The 24,773-nt window shown below is 43.7% G+C and overlaps 1 long non-coding RNA gene and 2 pseudogenes across 3 annotated transcripts, besides 1 other annotated feature; 1 reads left to right on the top strand and 2 right to left on the bottom strand.

Annotated features, from left to right (window-relative positions):
- Positions 1–751: 751 nt before the first annotated feature.
- On the bottom strand, positions 752–8,045 carry GOLGA2P9 (GOLGA2 pseudogene 9; annotated as a pseudogene). Its single transcript, NR_033899.1, has 10 exons — positions 7,883–8,045; positions 6,902–7,018; positions 4,766–4,873; positions 4,509–4,596; positions 4,016–4,134; positions 2,264–2,942; positions 1,787–2,005; positions 1,597–1,699; positions 1,410–1,514; positions 752–1,083 (listed from the first exon to the last, which is right to left on the bottom strand). The product of NR_033899.1 is annotated as a GOLGA2 pseudogene 9 (transcript).
- RN7SL860P (RNA, 7SL, cytoplasmic 860, pseudogene) lies at positions 2,595–2,817 on the bottom strand (annotated as a pseudogene).
- A 207-nt stretch (positions 8,046–8,252) lies between the features above and the next one.
- Positions 8,253–8,920, top strand: LOC105372331 (uncharacterized). Of its 2 annotated transcripts, XR_936470.1 has the most exons (3): positions 8,253–8,304; positions 8,420–8,518; positions 8,775–8,920. It is a non-coding gene; the product is annotated as an uncharacterized LOC105372331 (long non-coding RNA). The 2 variants fall into 2 exon arrangements; XR_936469.2 differs by lacking the exon at positions 8,253–8,304 and having other exon boundaries at positions 8,328–8,518.
- Positions 23,618–24,144: an enhancer, noted in NCBI's record as "H3K27ac hESC enhancer chr19:22762960-22763486 (GRCh37/hg19 assembly coordinates)". NCBI's record gives its function as "activates a minimal SCP1, AML or CMV promoter by ChIP-STARR-seq in naive H9 embryonic stem cells {active_cell/tissue: H9 hESC(naive)}" and the evidence as "EXISTENCE:reporter gene assay evidence [ECO:0000049][PMID:30033119]".

Below are 24,773 nucleotides of genomic sequence, written 5' to 3'. Positions count from 1 at the left end.
CAACCCAGCACTTCCTTTTAGTCACAGTTTGCCTTGGACGTGGTCACCTACTCCAGGATCTTGCCTGAGCAGACCCCAATGGTCACCCTCAGCTGTCTGCAGCTCTGGACCCCTTGCTGCCCCCTTGAATCCTACGGCATCTAAACCTGGCTCAGAGCTTTCATGGTTGTCGGAAGCGGTGAAAAGTTCACATGCTTTCCAAGGAACTCTTTTCCCGGAAAGACCCTGGAGCTTAGCTGGCTCATCCTGGAAGCCACCTCTGGCCACTAGGAGCAGGGCCATGAGCTCAGCCTAGAGGGAGCCTGTGGGGCACCTGCACTCTGGAGGGAGGGATGCAACAGGCCACCAGGCACAGGCAGGTGAGGTAGACAGGGGAATGGGACTGCAGTTGCCTGGGCTGGACGGAAGGCACAGAACAGGCTACCAGGCACAGGCAGGTGAGGCAGACAGGGGGATGGGACTGAAGTTGCCTGGGCTGGATGAAAGTCAGTGCCCTTGGGTGCTGGCACCCTGCCTTCCCAGCCACCGAGAGATCAGGCTTCTGAGCCTGTTGGCCATTAGGGCCGGACTGTCCCCCATGGGTGCCATTCCACCTGTGGAATCCCCCAGGTGTCACCAGGCAGCATGCAGGTAACAGGCCTGGAAGGTCCCCAGCAGCCCAGCTCGACATGCTCAGACATTCTGGGGCCCCCATTCAGTGGCACAAACCCCAGGACCCAGTGAGGGAAACAGGATACGCCAGGCCAAGCAGTATGGCTAAATCCATTTACTTTAAGGGTAAAGGGGTGACTGCAAAGGGGTGGGAGGGACATGGGGGGGCGGAGCCTCCCACCCCCCTTCTCCTGGCTTTGCTGAAGGCAACTGGCTTTCAGATGAGGGTGATCTTCACCTGGTGGTTTTTGTCAGCCTGGTGGGAAAACAGAATGCAGGGGATGCTGCCCAAGCCTGGGCGCTCCTGAGGGTTCTGCATCTCACCAAACAGCTGCATGATCTGCTGTGCACTGGGGTTGTCGAGGGGAGAACCCTCCCCGGCCTCTCCTTGTGCAGGCTCCACGCTGCTGGTGAGGGTCACCTGGCAAAGATCTTTGGAGAGAGGGAGGAGGGCTCTGAGCACACTGCCAGCCTCCCTTGCTCTTGCCTGCCCAAACCGCCTGAGGGCACTACTCATCACCCTGCTTGTCGGCAGCCCTGAGCTCTGGGGGGCTGGGGCCCCTGGAGCTGGCTCATGAGCAGGGCTCTGGGCAGCTGCCAGGAATCTGCCATGGCCCTCAGTCCTGTCGCCCACAAGCCGCAACACCAGCTCCTGCAACTCCAGCAGCTTCACCTGGAGGAGAGGGTGTTCAGCTGCCATGCCTGAAGCTGCACCCTCCCCGCAGCCCCCCGCCGGGCAGAGAAGCTCCACGCCCTGCCTTCATCTCCTCCTTGTCCTGGGCTAGCCTGTGGATGTGCTCCTCCTCCTCTCGGTGCTGCTCCTTCAGCGCTGCCCCCTGGCTGAGAGAGGGCAGTGTAGACTCCTGCGAGAGGACAGGGCTCAGACGCTGGGTTCCCTTCACCCACTGGGCAGCTCCCCCTGCCGTGCCCTGGCCTCCGCCTCACCGATGGTGTCTGTCTCTCCAGAGAGCTGGATGCAGCGATGTTCCAGCTCCTCCACCCGCTCTTTCAGGTCCACCTTTTCCTGCATCAGCTGCATAAAGCAGCTCTGGAGCCAAAAGAATGGGGTCACATCTCGGCAGTGAACTGCCTCGCTCACACCCTTCTTGGCCCATGCCAGAAGAGACTCACTCACCTGCAGTTTCTCCATGGCACCCTGCAGGGCCCGGTGGGTCCCCCCACACACAGAATCCATCCCAGTCCCTGGGGCTGGGGCTGCTGCCTCTGGCTGCTTCTGGGCCCAGGCCAGCAGGTGAGCCAGGCACCGGCAGCGCAGCCTTTGCTCCTTCAGCTGCCCACGGAGCCGAGCCTGCTCCCCATCTGCACTGGCTACAGCTGATGTTAAAAATGCCACCTGCAGGCAAGAGGTGTGCATTCTTCTTGGGGGATATACAGGACCAACGGGGCAGGGAGGTGGAGAGGAGCCCTTCGCTTGGGGCCTCAGAGTGTGCACCTGTTGGTCACAGGTCAAATGGTATCTGTCTGACCACTGGCTCCCAGGAAAGGGGTGAGGATCCAGAGAAATAAGAAAGCAGGAAACCAAAAGCATAAGCGGGTCTGGGAGGGACCACAGAGGGAGGGGGCAAAGGTGGGGCAGGGGGAGTAGGCTAACCATGGACTCCTGGCTTTCCAGGTCCTGCAGGATGCTCTTCATGGGCCGAGACGCCTCCTCCTCCTTCTCCTTCTCCTCCTTCTTCTTCTTCTTCTTCTCCTTCTCCTTCTCCTCCTCATCCTCATCCTCCTCCTCCTCCCCCCCCCGCCCCTCCTTCTCCCCCACCCTCCGTCCAGTCTACCTCCTAGGGCACAGAGCTAGAGGGGTCCTCACGCGACCCAACAAGGGAAGTAGGGTGGGCCCACCTCTGCCTCAACCGTCACTGTATAACCCTGGGCCAGTCCCTCTCCAGAGGGGAATGAGCAGCTGTAATTTATTTTTATTTTTTTTTTGAGAACCAAAGTCGCACTATGTTGCCCAAGCTCAGTTCCACTACTGCCCGGCAGGGGAGTTCTGACCTGCTTCATTTCTGACTTGGGCCAGTTCACCCATCCTTAGGCAACCTGGTGGCCCCTCTACTCCCAGGTCACCGTTTTGATGCCGAACTTAACGCAGAAACCCGGTCGGCATAGTGACCAGCTGTTCTAAACTCCTCACTCCTATCTGCTAACAGTCCCCCCTTCCTCCTGGGCTCCCTCCTCTTCCTCTGAGTGATCTCCCGTACCTTCCTCAGGGAGAGCCATGAGGCTCAGCTGGGCCTGTAGCTGCTGGTTCTCTGGCTGGCAGCTTCCAGGTGCTCCTAAGGGGCGGGGAAAGAGAGTTGAAGGCACAGAGGCTGCCAGGTCGTCCCCCTTGGGACCCGCCCTCAGCAACTCCCACACCTGGGTCCCCCGCAACTCTTGGTGGGCCATCTCGGCCATCGCTTTGCCCTAAGCTTCCTGCTGCTGCAGCTGGTCCATGAGCTGGGTCTGCAGCAGTAACTGCCTGTGCAGCGCCTCCATCTCAGAGCTCAGCTGCTGACAAGTGGCCATGTACTGATGCAGGGGACCCAGGGACTGGTCTTGCTGCGGCTGCAGACTCTGAGCCTCTTGGCTCTTCATCTCTACCTGCAGGAAGACCTGCAGGTGGTGGCCTGCTTTCAAATTCTGGGCCTATGAATAGGGTACCTAGGGCACTGCAGGGCTGTGTCTCCTGCCCAGGCCCGTGGCCCCTTGCTCCAGGCCTGAGAGACTGCCTAGAGCCCCATGCCTCCTTCCCTGCATGAAATCTCACACTCTTCTTCCCACCACTTAAACTGTAGGCCACAGAATGGTGGAAAAGCAGGAGCCAGCCATCATCTGCTAAGTGTCCGACATGCCTAATTCTCTCCACGTATTATCTCATTTAATCCTTGGCACCTCTGCGAAGAAGATGCTAACTTCATTGCAGCTGGAGAGCCCAGAACTTGGTGTCTGCCTCCCATGGCACCAGGAAGGGTGAAGTCAGGTTAGAAAAATCATCCCCACCTCCCCACAGCCATTGGAGCAGGGCTCTGGCTCACAGGTGCCCTCAGAAGTGCCATTTCACGTGAGGGCTACACGGCCCCATTTGACAGGTGGGAAAACAAAGGCCCAAAGGGCTAGGGAGGAGGGCTGGCTCCCCAGGTGGGGCCGTGCACCAGCTTTATGAAGCCACTCTGCAGCTCGGCCAGCTGTTCCTTGACCTCACAGGTCTGGGAGAGCACGTGGCTGACAGCGGTGTGGTCTCCATGGTCTACAGGATTTGTCTCTGTGCCTCCACTTGCTTCCGCCAGAGCTCAGCTGCCCGCTCCAGCTCCAGCAGCCTCTCCTCCTGCTCCCGGTTCAGGCAACTCAAGCCCTCATTGTCCTGTACCTGGGCTTGGAGCTGTCCTGCCAGACTCTCCAGCTCCTCCCTCAGGTGCTCAGCCTCCTCTTGTAGCTGCTGCTCCACCTCGGAGGGCCTTGCTGGGGGTGCCAGGGCTGGGAGTTCAGCTGAGGAAAAAAAAGCAGACAATAAGGGCCTCTGGAATCTTAAAAAAAATCTTCCTCTTGGTCCACAGCTCCTCTCAGGCTCCACAAACTTGGCCTCCCTGCTAATGATTCCCCACACCTGGATGGTAGCCAATCTTCTAAGCCACTTACAGATACAGACATGTGTGGGTGGCTGACAATAGGCACTCCTCCCTCTTTGCTGACTGGGAAACTGAGGCTCATGGAGATAACCAGACTTGTCATCTCCTGGCACATACCTCTTTTCCTCTGCCTCAAAGTCCTTCCATCCACCCACCTCCCTAGGACATTCTAACCCACCCCCCATGGCCCTCTGATGTTAGCCCTCCTCCCAGGTCACCCCAGCCTCAGCTTACTCATCTGTTTTCTCAATTCCACCAAGCTTGTCTCCAGCTCCTGTAACCGATTCATAATACACTCCTTCTCCTCCCTCAGTGTGTGCATCTGCACAAAGCACAGGGGGAAAGGGCCCTGGAGAGGGGGGCTGCTGGCTGGACAGGCTACCATCTCCCTCTCTGCCCTCTCCTCCACAAAGCCCAGACTCATGACCACCCCTCCCATTTTACAGATGCCCAGAAAGATCTAAAGTGGGGGCTGAAGTGTCAGGTCTCACCTGCTCCGACATCTGATTCATCCTCTGCTGCCATGTGGCTCTCTCTCCTTTAAGAATCTCAGCAAATGTATCTCTCTCCAGTTGTATTTGTCTACATGCCTCCATTACCTGCAAGAATGGGTGCAGAAGTTAGGAAGGACTGTCACTGGTCCTCTCCTGCTCCTAGCCACCTGGGGTCATCTTCCTTCCACATCCCTCCCTCTGCAAAGCCTCACTGCCCCAGGTGTGCTTCCAGCTGTGCCCGCTCCTCCATGGCCTGTCATAACTGCTGGTTAGCATCAGGGGCTTCACACCGGCTTGAAAACTGGATGGTGAAGAGTGAGAAGTTTAGGTCTGGGGACCCCAGGCTGTTCCACACAGTGCCCCTTAAAAGGGCTAGGGCTAGGCTCAATGTACAACTCGGTCAATAAAGATCTCTACTGTCAAGTTACTTTGCTTTAGAAATAAAAACTTAAATAATTTTAAAAAGATCTCAGGCTGGGTATGGTGGCTCATGCCTGTAATGTTAACACTTTGGGAAGCTGAGGCAGGTGGACCGCTTGAGCTCAGGAGTTCAAGATCAGACTGGCCAAAATGGTGAAACCCTGTCTCTACTAAAAATACAAAAATTAGCCAGGTGTGGTGGCGGGCGCCTGTAATCCCAGCTACTCAGCAGGCTGAGACAGGAGAATTGCTTGAACTTGTGAAGTGGATGTTGCAGTGAGCTGAGATCACACCACTACACTCCAGCCTGGGCGAGAGAGTGAGACTTTGTCTCTAAGAAAAAAAGCCCCAAATTCCATATGCCTGCTCTTAAAGTTATTCCCAAATTACCTCTAACCTTTAAGATATGTCTCACTTTCTCCAAGATAATAAAAGATGTGGGTGAAGGAAAAAAACCCAATCAATCAAACAGGTGAAGAAGCAGACATAAACAGTCAGAAGGGAAATGGCAGCAACATAAAATAAGCCAGAGGCAAAGTATCCCCCAAACCAGAGGAGCCTCAGCGGCATGCACAGCTGGAGAGAGCATCTGGAAAGGTAGGGTGTGAGGGTGGGGCCCTCCTGGAGCTCCTGTCTTCTGGACTCCAGAGGCTTGGGTGAGGAGGCTCTTCCCTCTCTGAGTTGGCACTGTGGGTGTCAGGCTATGCTTGGCAGCGGGAGGAAGGAGAATCCACAGGAGGCCAAAAGGGTAGAACAAGGGCAGGTGGACAAAGACAGAAGAGGCTTAGAGAGAGGCAAGAGATTCAGGGGAGGAGGAAGAGGTGGCTTCAGGGAAGCGAAATGTTGAAGAAGAGCGGAGGAGATCAAGACCAGGGGCTGTGCCTTCCAAATGGCTGCCTGCTGCCTTGCCAGGGGCAGAAACAAATAGATGGAAAAGTCCCCTGAGTGGTGCAGTCACACAGGGTGGAGTCACCTGACAATGCTGCTCTGAATACTCTCATTGGACCGCTCTCCTCAGGCCCAGGATGTGGGGATAAATCTGGTAGAGCACTAGACCTCCACCTCCATTTAAAAAACCAGACTTTTGAGTAAGGGTTCACTTCAACATAGGAGGCTCCAGCTAAAAAACAAGTCTGAAAGACACTGATCTTATCCAGTGTCATCTTACAGAGGAGTTAAAGAGGCCAAGGGGAAGAAGTGATTTTTCTGTGGTCACCCAGCACGCTGGAGGCAAAGATGAGCTCAAAAGTTAGATCTTCTCCCAATCTTAGTGCTTGGGGCTCTCCTCATCGCACCCTTGGGCCCTTTCGGTCACTCCAAAAGAGACAGCCTGATGGCAAGTGGCTGTTCCCATTAGCCTGGCTTTCCCTTGAGACTGGGGATGAGGAAAATGAAACAGCAACTACCATTTCCTGGGTGTCCTGGGTGTTTATGGCAGGCCCTGTACTTGGCATTAACATAAAAATAATAACTAATCTCATTTAAGCTTCACAAGTGTAAGTCAAACAATACCACCCTTATTTTACAGATGTGAAAAGAGAGGCCCAAAGAGCTCAAGCAATTTGCCCTACATCATATCCCTAGCAGAGGGAGAGATAGGATTCAAACCCAGAATTCTTAACCAGGACCCAACAGTTCTTCCACAATCTTAACAAGTACCCTCTACTGCCCTTGGGCCCCCTGTCCCCAGGAGCCTGGCCAGCCAAGACTCACATCTCCAGGTGAGTGGCAACCACCAGAAGTGGTTGTCTCGGGGTTACTGCAATTTTTAATTTTCTTTTTCACTCCTGTAGGAACACCAGGGCTGTTCCTCCACTGATAGTCTCTCAACTGTGGAAAAGAAGAGCAGGAATTCTCATGAGAAGTCCCTACAATCACATCTGCCTTTACAGTTTTTACAGAACTTTCTTTTATGCCATCTGATTTATTGCCACAAACAACTGTACAAGGTGTTGTCTTAATGACTTAATGACTGAGAGGGATTGATACCACGGCTTAAAAAAGGCAATAATTGAACTTGAACTCTGTCTTCTGACTCCAAGATCTGGGGTTTTGCCACAAATCAGCAGCTGCCAGGGCCCAATACCAGAGGCAGAGGTAGAAAAACAGACACTAAGTAGGCAGGAACTGGGTACTGTGTGGTTTAGAGTCACACATCATCACATGTCTGTTAGTGTAGGAAGTGCAGCAGCCCCTCTCAAACTCTTACATCAATGAGTCCTCATGGCAGAAGGCAGCCTTTCTGTTACATCTGGGAATTGAACAGAAAGAGGACAACCCAAGCCTCTTTTCAGAGTGAATTTTGGTATACTCTTAGAAATCTATGGGGCTGTCATCCCTAAGTCCATGAACGTTTTTTCTCTCTCAAGAGAATCAAGGGAAACTGATGCTTCAGAAAGATGCCCCATATTACCCTGTGGCACTCAAAGTCACCTAGGTTGAGATATGAGGAAGATTCAAGTGTCAAGTTCAGTTTCCCAAGATCTGTTTCATGGTAAATAAGCAAATCTCACTCCAGGCAGGGTCTGGGCTGTTGAGGGGAGGGGCTCACTGACAAGACTTTGGTAGAGGGAGCCCAGAGGCAGCTGGGGGCCCAACCCAGTGAGCCTCGGGAGTGGCATGAGCTCTGGCCGTGGTCCTGCCATCAGACGGCACCTGGGGCTGGGTCGTTGGGCTGCCACCAGGCGCTTGTACCTTTTTCTTTGCTGCTGCCAATTTGCTCGTCGGGTTTCTTCCGACATGGCAGGGCGGGAAGGGAGGTGGGGTTGGGGCCACATCAGCTCTATCCCAGTTACCACTGTGGAACAAGTCCTGTCTGCCACCGCGCAGCTGTGAGACTGACCAGAGAAGGTGTAACCAGGGCCAACTAGGGCAGAGGGGGGGCGTGGCCTCCATGCTCCAAGCCCATTGGTCGATGCGAAAGATGACAGAAAAAGGAAGCGCAGCCAGGCAACAGCGCACCCAGGGGGATATGAGGCGTCACAAGGAAAGCTGAGCAGGCAATTGCGGCCCCGCCCACTCTGGGGAGAGGGGCGGGGCCGCTGACTCCGGGAGCGGGCGGGGGCGGGGCCGCAGGCTCCAGTGGGAGGAAAGGGGCGGGGCCGCCGGCTCTAAGGGTGAGAGAGGGGCGGTGCCTCCTGCTCCAGGGGCAGAACGGCGGGCAGACTTTCTCTGGGTGAAGTCGAAGCTTCTTGGGCTACCCTCATGCTCTGAGTCAGAGTTCCTTTACAGGTGGACCTGAGAGGTGACTCACCAACTCCTGCCCTGGACCCTCCTGCGCCACTGAACCCCCTGACCTGGGGGCCTCGGAACCTAGGGCTCAGGAAGTGGGTGAGGAACGGACTCCACAGTTTCTTTCCTGACTCCTCACAGCCCTGCCCCAGACCTTCCCTTCCCAGAAATCACCTCTAAGGACCCCTAGCCAATGTTCCAGACACACCCCCCTCTCGGAACGTCCCATTCCTAGAGGGTACCTACCCTGATTCCGGGAGAGCATCTGCCCCCTTTCCAGCTAGATCCAGTCCCGGGCGCTCCTGCTTCCCAGCTCCTCCTCCTCCCGCACCCCACAGCACCCCTTTCTTCTCAGGGCGGCCGTGGGTCCCATCAGGCTTTCCCCTCGGATCCTCTCCAGGATGAACCAGGACTTACCTGAGGTTACCAAGTGAACTTCTGGGAAAAGTCCAATTCTCAGATGCTAGATGTCTTCCAAAAATGAAGCAAATTTGTAACTTAGTAGCTGAGTCAAGTATTCCTGTTAGATGGTCAACATTAATTTTTTATTTTATTTTAGTATTTTTAAGTGGCAACTCTAGTGTGTAAGAAAATGAATGCGACAGCTGAATTTGTAGAAAGCTTCTCTGACTCTCTTGGGCTCTGTCATAAGCCCTGGAACGAAATAAAAGTCTAGTGAATACAGGGAAGCCCCCTTCTTTTTCTCCATATTTACCCCTCACCTTAACCATAATTTCACATAATTAACCACATTTAAGGTGGTTGATAATAAAGTGGGAATGTACAGGATTCTTTTTAACCCTGAGTTAGCAATCCAAAAATTAGAATTTGTTGCATTCCTAGAACTAAGTTCAGGGTTCCTGAGCAGGTACTCAAGCAGACACAAAGACAAAACTTCCATTTTATTTCAGAAGAACCTCCATAATCCCGTGAGTCAGTTCCCTTAGTAAATTATGTTGTCTATCTATCTATCTGTCTCCTATTGGTACTGTTTCTTTGGAGAACCCTAATACACACACTCTTTTTTCCTGGCTCTTTGAGTATAAGATGATTGGCCAGGATTAAGAATGTAGCCTCTGCACTGAGATAGCGCCACTGCACTCCAGCCTGGGTGAAAGAGGAGACTCTGTCAAAAAAAAAAAAAAAAGAATGTAGCCTCCTGTAGCCACTAGCTCATTCCTTCTTTAATGAGTCCCCCCACCCTCCCAGAGCACCACACTTTTTGTCAATTGATCATTTGCCTTGATATACTTGAGAAATGTCATTGTCATTCATGAAACACCTCCATATACAATAGTATGTATACTAAAAATAACTCTTCTTCCTCTTCCACTCAAAAAAGAAGAATTCTAATATAATGGTTATATATAAGGAACATTTTGAATCTGAGTTTACTTTTAAATTATATTAAACATTCACAAAGTGCAATACTTTATTTTTTATAACAGATTATTGGTGAGGCACCCTTACCACAAAATAGGACAGTCCATTGTGTCCTATCTAACCCAAAGATTAAAATAAAATAAATGTATCTCAGCAAAAAGAACTATAGACAATGAATGCTGTTTGTCAGGAAGATACAAGTTCATATAAGGAAGTGTTTTTTTTTCCTGATTATTTTACTCTAGGGTAAAATAATTTCCTCAACCAAAATCAGTTTCTACTGGAATACAGTTTGTCATGTTTAAGTCACGGCAGCTGAGCCAGGACTATATTCTTCACTACATCAAGCAAGATGAAGGAGCTCCAGAAATACTTTAAAGCAGGAATTTGAAGTTTGGATAGGATGGCTACCATTTAAGTCATATTCAAGCTGCTCCTTTATGAGACTTGCAAGGCCCTTTGGAATCTGACTTCTACATCCTTCCTTTCCAACCTCATTCCTCATCAGTTCCCCAACCTCATTCCTCATCAGTTCCCCAACCTCATTCCTCATCAGTTCCCCACTTCCCTCCTCTAACAACCTTCATCCATCCACATCATGCACTTCAGCTATTCTGAACTTCCCTCCTGAAACCAGCCACTCACAGAGCAACACTTCAAATCCTGGCCCAACTCGTGTAACCCAAGGCAGGTTTCCAAACTCTCTATGTCCCAGTTTCCTCATCCTCATTCCTAAATTTGAAACAATAACATCCAAGTCATAGGGGCATTTGGAAGTAATAAGATATATCTTTCTGTATTACTTTCTTCCTTCTAAATTTGTGGTTTCCAAATGCAACTTTCCACAGACCAATTACTTTAAATACATTTCATTATATAAGCCTCTTCCTTGTGTTATATTATATGCTCCCGTTCCATGAAGGTTGAATATAATTCAGGGTTTGATAGTGTCTCAAGTTTATTAAAACAGGACTTAATTTTTACATAATACAGTCTTCTCTGAAAACCAGACTTTTCAAATAGCTGTGTGTGGTCAGTGAGCCAGGCCCAGGAGCTAAGAACCACACAGGATGGATTATTTTCCTTAGGGCTGTTATATGTGCCTTGAGCCATGGAGAATCCACAAACACTTGCCCAGCTGAGACTCTATCCACCTTGCATCAAGGCCTTGCACATAGTAGGTACTCAAGAAATATTTTTTCTTAATTAGCCCTGAGGTAATTTTACAAATGCTTCAATTGTCTTATGGTTTTGCTCATTCTGTTTAAAATCTGTGCTTCTCAAACTTTAATTGCATACAGTATACATCACCTAAAAATCTTGCTAAAAAGCAGATTCTATTTCAGTGGTGCAGGGCGTAGCCTGAGATTCTGCATTCCTTACAAGCTCCTAAGTGATGTCTGTACTCTTGGTCCATGATACACACGATGAGTAGCAAAGTTATAAATCTTATTTCAAAACACATTAGTGTTTATATCGTTGTCCTCCTGGAGCACCCTGTACCTTCCCTAACTTAACCATACTATTTATAATCTTGTATTTATTTTTCGATATACCTTTCTAAACTATAATCTCTCTGGTGACAGGCACTAAATATACCTGGTTTCCTGTTGTATTCTCAGTGCCTAACAGATAATTAACACTCAATAAATACTTCTTGAATGTCAATTGACCAAATGAATGAATATATACCAAAGACATACTTTTATACTCACCCTTGATCACATGCAAACACTCCCCTGCTACCTGTTCATAAAAATGTCACCATAGCTTTGGGAATTTTTCAAGGTCAGAGTAAAATTTATCATTATGATCATGGCTAACATTTATTGAGTACATTATGCATTCACTCGTGGTTTTCGCACTACAGCCATATAAGGTAAAATTATAATTCCCATTTTATTTATTTAGTATGGTTTTTGACATTTTTTAAGTTGACAAATAATAATTGTACATATTCATGGGGTACATAGTAATGTTTTATTACATACAATGTATAGAGATCAGATTGGGGAAATTAGGATATCCAGCATCTCCAACAGCCATCATTTCTCTGTGTTGGGAGCATTTAATATCCTCCTTCTAGCTATTTGAAACACATATTATTGTTAACTGTAGACACCCTACTGTGGTATAGAACCCTAGCACTGATTTCCCCTATCTAGCTATAATTTTGTATCCTTTAACACAGGGATCCCCAACCTCCTGGCCATGGACCAGTCCCTGTCTATGGCCTATTAGGAACCGGCCACACAGCAGGAGGTGAGCAGGGGGCGGGCGAGTGAGTGAAGCTTCATCTATGTTCACAGCTGCTCCCCATTGCCCGCATTCCCACCTGAGCTCTACCTCCTGTCAGATCAGCTGCAGCTTTAGATTCTTGTGGGAGTGTGAACCCTATTGTGAACTGCACATAGGAGGGGTCCAGGTTATGTTCTCTTTATGAGAATCTAACTAACGCCTGATGAGTTGAAGTGAAACAGTTTCATCCCAAAACCATCCCCATCCCCATCCAAGGAAAATTTGTCTTCCACAAAACCAGTCCCTGGTGCCAAAAAGGTTGAGGATCGCTGCTTTAACATATCTCTCCCTCTCACTTCCTTCCCCATAATTCCCATTTTAAAGGTGGAAATAGAGGCACAGAAATGCCAAGTATCTTATCCAAGTTGACATAGCTAGTAAATGCCACTGCTAGGAGTCAGGCTCCACAGTCCATTCAGCTAACGTCTACACCATGAAGACGAAAAAACTGAGACACTCTGTGACTTAGTCAAATTCTTTAACCTTAATGCACTTTAAATCTGCAGAACAGAGATTAGATCCCATTCTAAACAGTACCCTGCCAAATTCCATATCTAGTCGTCACTCAGGCATTTTCAGATTCAGTTCTCTTCTTGAGCAACCCCACAGGTTTATGTCACGAAGTAACGTGTAATGTTGCTGGGATACAAATGTGATTGACAAACTCTGTGCAAGGCTGGTCCACCAGAATAGGATGCTGGCTGGTACAGGAAGGGCAACCAATGAGGAACCCAACATCTCCATGAGCATGTAGCTTTATGTTCCTCCCCTCTTGGTGCACATTGAAATTCCAGAAAAATGGTGTGCCACAGTAGTATTCTCAAATTTGGAATTTGTAAAGGTTGTCAGATGTACCCCAGACAAATGTCAAGAACCCACTCTATGTTCCTGTTCCTGGGTGACATTCTCTGCTATGGTCACTCACCTGAATTATAAACTTTTCCACAACTAAGGAAAAGCAGATATTATATGCATTTAAACATATCGTCTCTATTTACAGAGTGATAATACATAGCAATTTTTATGAAGGGAACAAAATAATACAACTACATAAGAGGCGAGTTGCTATGGTAACAATTTCTCGGCTTAAATTTAGAGAGGCAATGCCTTCCAGTACTGAAAGATTCTCTCAGCTTTTAACAGCAAGTATTATGTATTATTTTATATATTGGGCCTGGTTTTTGTCTTATACTAGATAAGTTTCCGTGTTACCTTACTAAATAGGAAATGCTATATCATTTCATAAAATAAGTCATATTGGATATTTAATCATTAAATGGTAATCTCATTGGATGGTGCATCCTCAATGACAAATAAAAATTATGACCAAATTTATCACCCGGAATGTTAATAGATGGTCATACATAGCTTGAAACAACTGTGTGGTTCTATCAATACTTTCAATTGTCTGTAAATGTTATTTATTTCCAGAAAACAATTTCCTGAATTAATAGAGAAAAGTTAACGCATAAAACTCTGTATTTCACACCAAGATAATTTTTTAACCCACAGTATTTTCTTACATATCATTGGCAGATCCCCTTCCTGCTTTCCCATTCAGTGATGGATGTATTATACTAAAAAAAGCTTTCCTAATCAGTGGCAAATACTTTCCAGATTTCCTGCAAACAGGAAAGATAGTAAATTTTGTTATACTTTAACAAGACTTCCTCCAACCACTTTTAGCCACTGACCCAGAGAACTACAATTTCAGAACCATAATAACAGCAGTAATAATAATATCACCCATTAAGCTCTTGCTTAGTATCAGGTCTGGTTCTAAGCACTTCACATGGGACACCAAATATACAAACAGCACAACCAAGGGAATCTAGAGACAGTATGCGTTTAAAGATCTCATATTTGTTTATAAAAAAGAGATAAGACAGGGTGCGGTGGCTCATGCCTGTAATCCCAGCACTTTGGGAGGCCAAGGCGGGGGGATCACGAGGTCAAGAGATCGAGACCATCCTGGCCAACATGGTGAAACCCCATCTCTACTAAAAATACAAAAATTAGCTGGGCATGGTGGCTCTCGCCTGTAGTCCCAGCTACTCGGGAGGCTGAGGCGGGAGAATCGCTTGAACCCGGGAGGCAGAGGTTGCAGTGAGCTGAGAGCATGCCACTGCACTCCAGCCTGGTGACTGAGCAAGACTCTGTCTAAAAAAAAAAAAAGTAAAAATAATAATAATAATAATATGTAGCATTGACTATAAGGGTTTCTCTTTTAATCCTTACAACAACCCTATGAGCTTGCTTGCTAATGGATACTTTGGATACTGTACAAATCAGCTTCCATGTCCTGTAAGTCCTCCCTGATTTGTACAGATTAAGAAACCCAGTCATTTTCGCTCAGGTGTCATAGTTTATGAAATGAAATAAACAATACACTGAATGTAAATGTATTAATAAGATTCAAGAATAAATGGCTGCTACCAAATAAAGACAGAAAATTGGCAAGTGAAACATGTCATAAACATTCAATGCTCCAAATCACAAATGCACAAGATACCAACATTTCCTGTAATAATACATTAAAGCATAATTTCTGCTTTTTGTCTTTGAAGTATTCCTGGTGTTGTGCATTTATACTTTATGTAAACGATGACATTATGAATACTCTGCTTATACCTGAGCAAGCCTAGAACTTAAATATTTCATATACATCAGAGGAACATAGTGCTGCCAGTTGTTACTGAGATCTCATTTTCTTTTTGTAAAAAGGTAGATGAGTAAATCATAGTGATAAAAAAGCGGCCAGGCGCAGTGGCTCACACCTGTAATCCCAGCACTTTGGGAGGCCAAGGCGGGTGGATCACAAGGTCAGGAGTTTGAGACTAGCCTGGCCAACATGGTGAAACCTCATCTCTACTAAAAATACAAAAATTAGCTGAGTGTGATGGCATGTGCCTGTAATCCCAGCTACTTGGGAGGCTGAGGAAGGAGAATTGCTTGAACCTGGGAGGCAGAGGTTGCAGTGAGCCAAGATCGCGCCATTGCACCCCAGCCTGGCAACAAAGCGAGATTCCATCTCAAAAAAAAAAAATAAAAAATTCACCATATACCTTCAGCATAATAAAAATAGTATGAGTCCTGATATGACAAATAATATGTAAGATCATTTTAATTATAATTGCTGATATATTCTGGTATAAGTAAACAGGCGTTTATGTCCAAAATATTACAACCTTAATTATCCATAAGCAGGGTCAAATCGTTTAGAGAGGATACATTTATGTAAAGGTTTGAACATGTTAAACTTTGGTTCAGCTATACTATTCTTAATATTAAGAGTAGTATTGTCAATCTATCACCCAGATTCCATTTCAATTATTTTTAATTTTTATATATCTACCCCCATTCTATGTAAATTTATAGAATGCTTTAATATTTGAGAGCACAAATCTACTGTTACAGTTATTTAATCTTTTGCAATTTTTTCTTAATTATTTTATTTTTTTAATTGACATATAATAATTGTACATATTTATGGGGTATGTAGTGATGTTCGGATACATACAATGAATAGTTAAGAGATTAATTAGCATATGCATCATGTCAAACATTTATCATTTCTTTGTGATGGGAACATTCAATATACTCCTTCTAGCAATTTGAAGCTATATATTATTGTCAACTATAGTCATCTCACAGTGCTATAGAACACTAGAACTTATTTCTCCTGTCTAGCTGTAATTTTGTATTTTTTGACAAATCTCTCCTTATCCATCTCTCACCCACCTCTCCAGCCTCTAGTATCCTCTGTTCTACTTTTTCCTTCCATGAGATCTTCTATTTTTTAGCATCCACATACGGTGAGAACATGCACTATTTAACTTTCTGTTCTTAGCTTATTTTGCTTAACATAATGTCCTCTGGATTCATCCTGGCTGCTTCTTATGGTTTGTATTTGAAATATATATGTGTGCACATGTGTGTATGTGTGCACATATGTGTGTGTAGGTGTGTGCCTGTGTGTGTGTATTACATAGCAAATATTAGGTAAACAACTAAATAATTGTAAATAAGACTAAATCTTATGGAGTATGTAGTGATGTTTGGATATATGCAATGAATAGTTATGTTACAAAATAAGCATAAGACATATCTGTCCCACACTTTTATATCTTTAGCATTTTGAGAAATAGTGTTGATGTCAGGCCCAATACTTTGTTCAATTGTAACTGAACCAGCAAAGATGTCATGATGCCATAATGGATCCACTCTAAATATGATGTTAAATGGAATATATCATTATTTTTTAAAAGTAAGGACTAGTTTGAGACTTATATTTAAGTTTCTGAGTATCTGTGCTTGCATTCTTATATCTAATAAAGTATTTAATTGTCTTACACTTAACATTCTTAAGGCCTAGGGCAAGAATAATAATAAAAACCTATATAGTACATGTTTAAATATTTAAAAGTTATAAATCATGTTAACAAACTGTTAAGTATGCTTTGTTTTCCCACTTTGACACATGTAGCTTCCTAATGAAATTCAAGTTTAGAGCTGGAATTCTTGGGCCCTCAAAGTCCAGTACCAGAATATAAGGGCATGGGGAGAGCTGGTCCCCCAATGTGGTCTCACACCATGACAGGCCTTGTGTGTACACATTTTGGGTACCTCTGTGGATATGTCCAAGCTCAGTCTACCACTGTACCTCTGGTAAACAGCTTTGCATTGGCCCACAGGGCCTCTAGTTGTGCGCTCTCTATACATGGCTCACCATGAAAGACAGAACTGGAGGAGAGAAACATGAACCCTGGAAGCCATATCCAAGCCCTTTGAAGAGAGAATTCTAAGTCTTTATGTCCCACAGCATTATCTAAAAGGTGGTAGGTGGGGGTGAGTAATTTATAAAGGAAAACGGTATAATTGACTCACAGTTCAGCATGGCTGGGGAGGCCTCAGGAAACTTACAATCATAGCAGAAGGTGAAGGGGAAGCAAGGCACCTTCTTCACAGAGTGGCAGGACAGAGTCAGTGAGTGCAAGCAGGGGAAATGCCAGATGCCCATAAAACCATCAGATCTTGTGAGAACTCACTCACTATCACAAGAACAGCATGGGAGAAACCACCCTCATGATCCAATTACCTCCACTTGGTCCCGCCCTTGACATGTGGGATTATGGGAATTACAATTCGAGGTGAGATTTGTTTGGGGACACAGAGTCAAACCGTATCAATGTCAAAGGATTTTCAGCTATGTTTTAAATTTGCCTCAGTATACAACTTTATGTTAACAACTGAGGATCAGGAATGAACACACATAATTGATTTCCCTGGATTTTTCAAGGGAGAAATCTTGGTAAGAAAAGTGAGATGAGAAACGCAATCTTTGAGAGGCAGTAGTCTGTACTAGGAAAGGCTTTTTGTAGTGGGGATCGATGGGTCCATATCTTGTATTCTATGCTTGAGATTTTTGACTTTGAGAATCAGTTTTCCTGTGAGGGCTAATAAAACCCGTCAATCTCCATGGTCGGCAGGAAATCCAATGAGATAACACAGAGACCAATACGTGGCTTCTATTAACATGCCAGATCATCAAGGCAAACCTAAGGCAAGAAAACAAATCAAAAGGCAATAGTCACTTGATACTTAGTCTTGATTTAGCTTAATGAATCATAGGTTCCCTTTCTAGAAGGGAAACTATGACAATCCGATGGCATTATAAAGTTCAATTTTGTGAGAAGCCCTGTGATGGTCAATTGCAAATGTGTCACTGTTTTAAAGACCTAGGTCACCCTTCAGGCAAATCATATATTATAAGCACATTTCAGATTTATCTAGAGCATAAAGCATAGCAATATAACAGCAAACATTTATTAAGAGCTTACTGTGTGCCAGGTATTATGCTAAGTACTTTGTATGGATTTAATCATAACAACCATATTATCTACTTGTTAGCGTGGGGAAAATGAAGTTTATAGAGATTACATACTTGATGAAGATCTGGAAGCTCATAAGAAATGAGCTGGAATTTGAATCCACCCTTGTATACATTATACTACCTAATGACACAAAACTTAGCCTGTTTGATAGCTTTTTTAGGATTATGCTAAGATGACATCAAATTAAATTCTGATCTAGTCTAATTAATTTAATTCAATATATATGTATTGGACACTCTTCAATCTAACCGAACTAATATTTAGTGAGAGGTTAATATAAACTAGGCATTGGTGTATAGATTTGACAAGATGAAAATTTCACCCTCAAGTAGATCCCATAGTTATCAGAAGACAAAAACATAAAAATAACTGTAATATTGAGTGGTATATTCCAATCTAGTTTTAAACATTGTATTGGTGCTAAGGAAGTTAGAAAAACAAACCAGACACAAAATCTGCCCACAAGTGCTTGTAATTTACTTGAAGAACTTAATTCTAACATAGTTTCATCAGGTAATTCAGGTAAATATTCACTCTAGGCCCAGATTTATGGTAACTGATAATTATTGATAATTTCTTTAGATTTGTTGATATTCTACTTGATGAAACATCCAAATTTTACTTTATGTAAATGTGGCCGGCCGGGCGCGGTGGCTCACGCCTGTAATCCCAGCACTTTGGGAGGCCGAGGCGGGTGGATCATGAGGTCAGGAGATCGAGACCATCCTGGCTAACAAGGTGAAACCCCGTCTCTACTAAAAATACAAAAAAAAAAAATTAGCCGGGCGCGGTGGCGGGCGCCTGTAGTCCCAGCTACTCGGGAGGCTGAGGCAGGAGAATGGCGTGAACCCGGGAAGCGGAGCTTGCAGTGAGCCGAGATTGCGCCACTGCAGTCCGCAGTCCGGCCTAGGCGACAGAGCGAGACTCCGTCTCAAAAAAAAAAAAAAAAAAAAAATGTGGCCAAAAGTGTCAGAAAATAACCAATTGTGCTTTTTATAAAACAACAATGAACAACGCTTGACTAAAGCCACCACACAGAGCGACTATCATTATGGGTAGGTTGTCTTTGAATTTTAAGGTATTAATCACAGAAGAGGAAACTCAGTCCTGAGAATTGCCTATTGGGTGGTTAATCATTTCTGTTAGTTACATTTTGACTAATCATCCATCCATCCATCCATCCATCCATCCATCCATCCATCCATCCATCCATCCATTTATCCATCCATCCAGCCAGCCAGCCAGCCAGCTAATATCCCATCCCACTCCACAGGAATATGGTGGGCATCTCAATATTAGCTGTAAGCTGAAGCTGGCTCATATAGGCTTCTGAGGGACGATTGTTAAATTTCTGAAAACTTTACATGCTTTCCATACAACCATTAAAAAACTAAATTTTATAAACAAATAAATTATATTAAAAATAAAGTTAATAGATACACAAAACTCATCATTTCCTAATAATTTTACTATATTTTGGTATTATCTGTGCTCTTAAGGTTATTCACATTTACTGTATCTGTATGATGAAGTTACTATAATAATGGTGTGTTACTTTGCATCTCTTCTCAACTCCACATTCTGTGATGTCATGTTAGTAGCTTGAAATAAACTGTAATGGGACTATTTATACCTCAGGAATTAGCAAACACACTTCAGTGTATGTCATAGAGTAAAAACAGCTGGAGCAAGTGTTTTAAGTAATGGAGATCTTTGAAAGTACCACTTAGTTCTTTCTTTATTTTGTAATGCATACCTTTTACTTTACTAAACATTTTAAATAAACCAAGTACATTTAATAATTTTAAAAAGTAAATTATCTCTGGCGGTTTTATAATTTTTACAAAAACCCAGTCTGATACACAGTCATACTCTGTGTGGCAATCCCTTTAACTCTTAACTGTTTCTTCTGGTAGTTGTTTTAACATTTAGAAACAATATTCTTACATTGCTTTTATTTGAATTACCAATTCTGGACATTATATATTAATTTCCTATTACAATAAATGAAAACATTGCTCTTTCAAATTCCATTCTTTTCTTCATACCATCTTCCTAAAGTCAGTGACCTCAGTATTTTTAGTTAAATCTATCATTACTCATCTTATTATTACTATATGTATTTTGGTAATGGTAGGCGCAACTAGTGTATGCCAAATCATTTTTCCATTTTATAAAGCATTTTTCCCTAAATTTAATAATTGAGTCCTTGTATAATGTTTTTAGTTGCATAATTCTCTCTACCAATGTATGTTAGCCATTATCACTGTTGTTTCTCTTGTTTTCCATATATCCTTAATTATATTGGAATGTTTAATTATATCATCTATTTTAACAATTAGTTCGATATACGTTAACCATTATCACTGTTGTTGATTCTCTTATTGTTTTCCGTATATCCTTAATTGTATCAGAATGTTTTATCATATCATCTATTTTAACAATTCCTGAAGTCCTCTTTCCTGAAATCTTCCACCCTTCTCCAATTTGTGCTGGTTTCTCTCTAGCCTTGCTGCCCTGGTGTCATCCTAGGACATATTTAGGCTTTGTAGTTGGAGCTATTATGTTTGGAAAACATGTCTTCCTCTTTCTTAGTTTAAGCCATTGCTTTACTGTATTACATCTACCAGTAGTTTTCTAAGAAAGTGTACGTAGGAGATAGATTTTATGAGACACCAAAATACTTCATTCTACCACATTTGATTCCAGAAATTGAAATTGAAATTATTTTCTCCTGGAATTTTGAAAGCACTTCTTTGTATTTTAGCAGCCCATGTTGTTATTAGAATATCTGTTGTCTGGTACCTTTGAATTTGACCTACTTTCGTGTGTGTGTGTGTATGTGTGTATGTGTGTGTGTTTTAATTCAATGACCTGGACATTTATTGAGCATTTTCATTTTCCTTTAATTTTATCATGGTACCTTGACTTTATCTTCCAACCATGGTATTATTATTATTTTTTAATTTCAGGAACCATATTTTAAAATTTCTAAAGGGCTTTATAAGTCACTTTGTTGTAAATGACTCATATGCTACATTTACTTATATTTTACTCTGTGTCCACTCTGAGAGTCTTTGTGTTATAATAGGTGATTTCTATACCATTTATTTATTAATATAATATATATGGATAATTAAATTTGACCTTTTATTTTATATTATGCTCTTTACTTTTCATTCATTTTGCTAAACACCTGATGGGATTCTTCAATCTGTACATGATGCCTCCAAAAAATACTGCATGATATTCAAGTTTGTTAATTTCATAATCTAAGAACTCAATCTTCTTTTATTTCTCCGTACTTCTTCCACCAACCCTACAGTCTTGGAATAATACTGAATTTATATTGTATATATTTAATAAATATTGTTTATTTGACATTCCACTGTGTGTTTGCTATATAGAGACTGTCAAGAACCTAATTTATTTAATTTCCTCAAGTACACGGTGTTATTAGACATTATAAAAATATTTACTGAATAAATCAATGGTAGGATTACCTCATCCAGAGAATAGAACCTATTGCTCCAAATTAAATTTTACTTGTGTAATATATGGTGGAAATACATTAGAAAACCCTACCTCTTAGACTGTAACATTATGATCTAGGAGAAAGGTAGTTGTAGGCCCTTCTTGAGTTATATTTTTTTGAAAGGAGATGCTATTCTCACTTACCATCGTATTATTATTTTTCTCTGGGACTACTTCTCTGATTTAGAATAGAGGTCAGTGAGGGAAAATAGTCTTTCCCTTATAGAAATTTATTTTATGATCAAAATCAATAGAGTCTATCTGTTCAATAAAAACAAGATGCCTACAAAAAAAAAAATCCATTACACAATTTTCATTCTTATTACTAGATTTCTTTCAAACAAGAGATGGTTAAATAACCCAGCTTAAAATATATCCTAAGACTTCCCAATTTAGTCCATTTTGCTTTTTTTTCAGGCTCCCTTTAATTAGCCTGATGGAGCAAATTTGAAATCGTAAGTCTCATAGGAGCCTGAGCCAAGTGCCCAGCTCATCAATGTCTCAGTATTTTTGAATTTCTCACAGTGTTCTTTAAATGTAATACAGGTCTGTATATCAAACTTTTTAGAAAGAAGAGATCTAACACAGTTCAGATTTAGATTTTAGTGGATTCAAAATAATGTGCTGTGTAGAGTTTATTAAGGCTTTTTACGTGAAAGTGATTAGCACTTGTAACTAGGTAAATACTTGGCAAAGTTTTACACAATTATCTCCAGGATTGATCTAGAGAATTTTACTTGTCTATCATTTTCTTCTTTCACATTCTTTCCTTCATGTTTAAATGATAAGAGACCAATTAACCCCTGACTCAGTCATCGACAATGTTTCCTTCACTTTTCCTTGTTTTTCTGAGACTGGGTGTAGTCTGACTGAGTAATAAGGCAATACAGGGAAGTTGGCAAGGAGGTAAGGGTAAGGTGAGTGGGTTGCATGTATGCCAGCCCTCAAAAGACTCATCAATAGCCCGTGCCAGGCTGGGCATACCATTTATTATGGATTTAAATGGACATTACATGAAGGGGTGGGTTGCCCTTCCACACCTGTGGGTGTTTCTCGTTAGGTGGAACGAGAGACTTGGAAAAGAAAAAGACACAGAGACAAAGTATAGAGAAAGAAATAAGGGGGCCCAGGGGACCAGCGTTCAGCATACGGAGGATCCCACCAGCCTCTGAGTTCCCTTAGTATTTATTGATCATTATTGGGTGTTTCTCGGAGAGGGGGATGTGGCAGGGTCATAGGATAATAGTGGAGAGAAGGTCAGCAGGTAAACACGTGAACAAAGGTCTCTGCATCATAGACAAGGTAAAGAATTAAGTGCTGTGCTTTAGATATGTATATACATAAACATCTCAATGCCTTAAAGAGCAGTATTCCTGCCCGCATGTCCCACCTCTAGCCCTAAGGCTGTTTTCCCCTATCTCAGTAGATGGAACATACAATCGGGTTTTATACTGAGACATTCCATTGCCCAGGGACAGGCAGGAGACAGATGCCTTCCTCTTGTCTCAACTGCAAAGAGGCATTCCTTCCTCTTATACTAATCCTCCTCATCACAGACCCTTTACGGGTGTCGGGCTGGGGGACGGTCAGGTCTTTCCCTTCCCACGAGGCCATATTTCAGACTATCACATGGGGAGAAACCTTGGACAATACCTGGCTTTCCTAGGCAGAGGTCCCTGCAGCCTTCCACAGTGTTTGTGTCCCTGGGTACTTGAGATTAGGGAGTGGTGATGACCCTTAAGGAGCATGCTGCCTTCAAGCATCTGTTTAACAAAGCACATCCTGCACAGCCCTTAATCCATTTAACCCTGAGTTGACACAGCACATGTCTCAGGGAGCACAGGGTTGGGGGTAGGGTTACAGATTAATAGCATCTCAAGGCTGAAGAATTTTTCTTAGTACAGAACAAAATGGAGTCTCCTATGTCTACTTCTTTCTACACAGACACAGTAGCAATCTGATCTCTCTTTCTTTTCCCTACATTTCCCCCTTTTCTTTTCGACAAAACCACCATCGTCATCATGGCCCGTTCTGGATGGTCGCTGTCTCTTCGGAGCTGTTGGGTACACCTGCAGAGTAACAACAGACAAAACAGCCACACAAGGATTAATATGAAATTTATAATAGTAGTACTTCCAATGGTCTTAACCCAAGTGACAGGGTTAAGATTTGAGAGGCCAGCAGCAACTCCTGCGATTGCCTCAGTTCCCGGCACCAAATTTAAATGGGCTTTTGATGTTTTGAAAATTTGTTCTTTTAATTTGGAAATGTCTAAAGTGAGATTATCTTCTCCTCCCTGTAGATGGCATCTAACCATGTCCCAGTGATGCTCAGACTCATTATAAATTTGGGGTGTAATACAAAAATCTGAGATATTCCAGTCACATCGTAACTGGAAATGATGTTCTAAGCTCATGAGTCTGTCTCCCACCCAAATGACAGTTTGTCTAAGATCATTAATTTGATTTGCCAATTTTTGATCAATACCAGATTGTGAATTCCACAATCTTGTGGAATTCTTTTGCCAATCATTAACAAAGTTTACTGACTGAACAGAAGAGTGCAACGCAACTCCTGCCACAGCAGCCGTAGCTGTGACTGCAATTAATCCCATAATCACTGCAATTAAAGTAAAAATGAATCTTTTGGATCTATTTAAAATGCCTTTTAATACTTCAGTCAAAATATGGATGGATGGCGAGGCCTCCCATGGTCGGTCCATGGACACAGGGATCCACACGCCTTCTCTTGCTCTCACCAGCAGAATACGGTGCTGCCAATTAAAAGTTGAATCAATGTAAGTAATCAATCTACAGTTTTCACAGGTTATAGTTTGAAAGTCTGGTTTAATAACTATATTTCCTACAACTAGCATATAAGGGGGCTTTATGAAACTTTGTAAAGGAACCGTTAGACTGGAATTTAGATCGATAGTATAAAATGGCTTATGATCTCTTGTTTCTAAAGTTTGATTTCCAGATCAAATCCTAATGTGGTATGAGGCTACAGTAAGCCTCCATAATTTTGGATGTTCATGACCAGAAATGTTTAAACTTTCTGTTAAGTCGCTATCAACAGCTGGACTCACTTGTGCACTGGGTCACGACTGAGTTTGCCCTGAGCAATTGTGGTAGAATTGACCTCCAGATGTCCAATCTATAATAGTTCTGAATTCATTGTTTTGTAATATTACTGAACTATTGGCCACACATTCTTCCCAAACTAAAACTTCTGTATTTTTTGAT

The sequence above is a fragment of the Homo sapiens genome, chromosome 19, assembly GCF_000001405.40.
Source record: "Homo sapiens chromosome 19, GRCh38.p14 Primary Assembly".
Lineage (NCBI taxonomy): Eukaryota > Metazoa > Chordata > Mammalia > Primates > Hominidae > Homo > Homo sapiens.
Note: the sequence above shows the minus strand (reverse complement) of the source record. Positions and strands in the feature narration are given on the sequence as shown.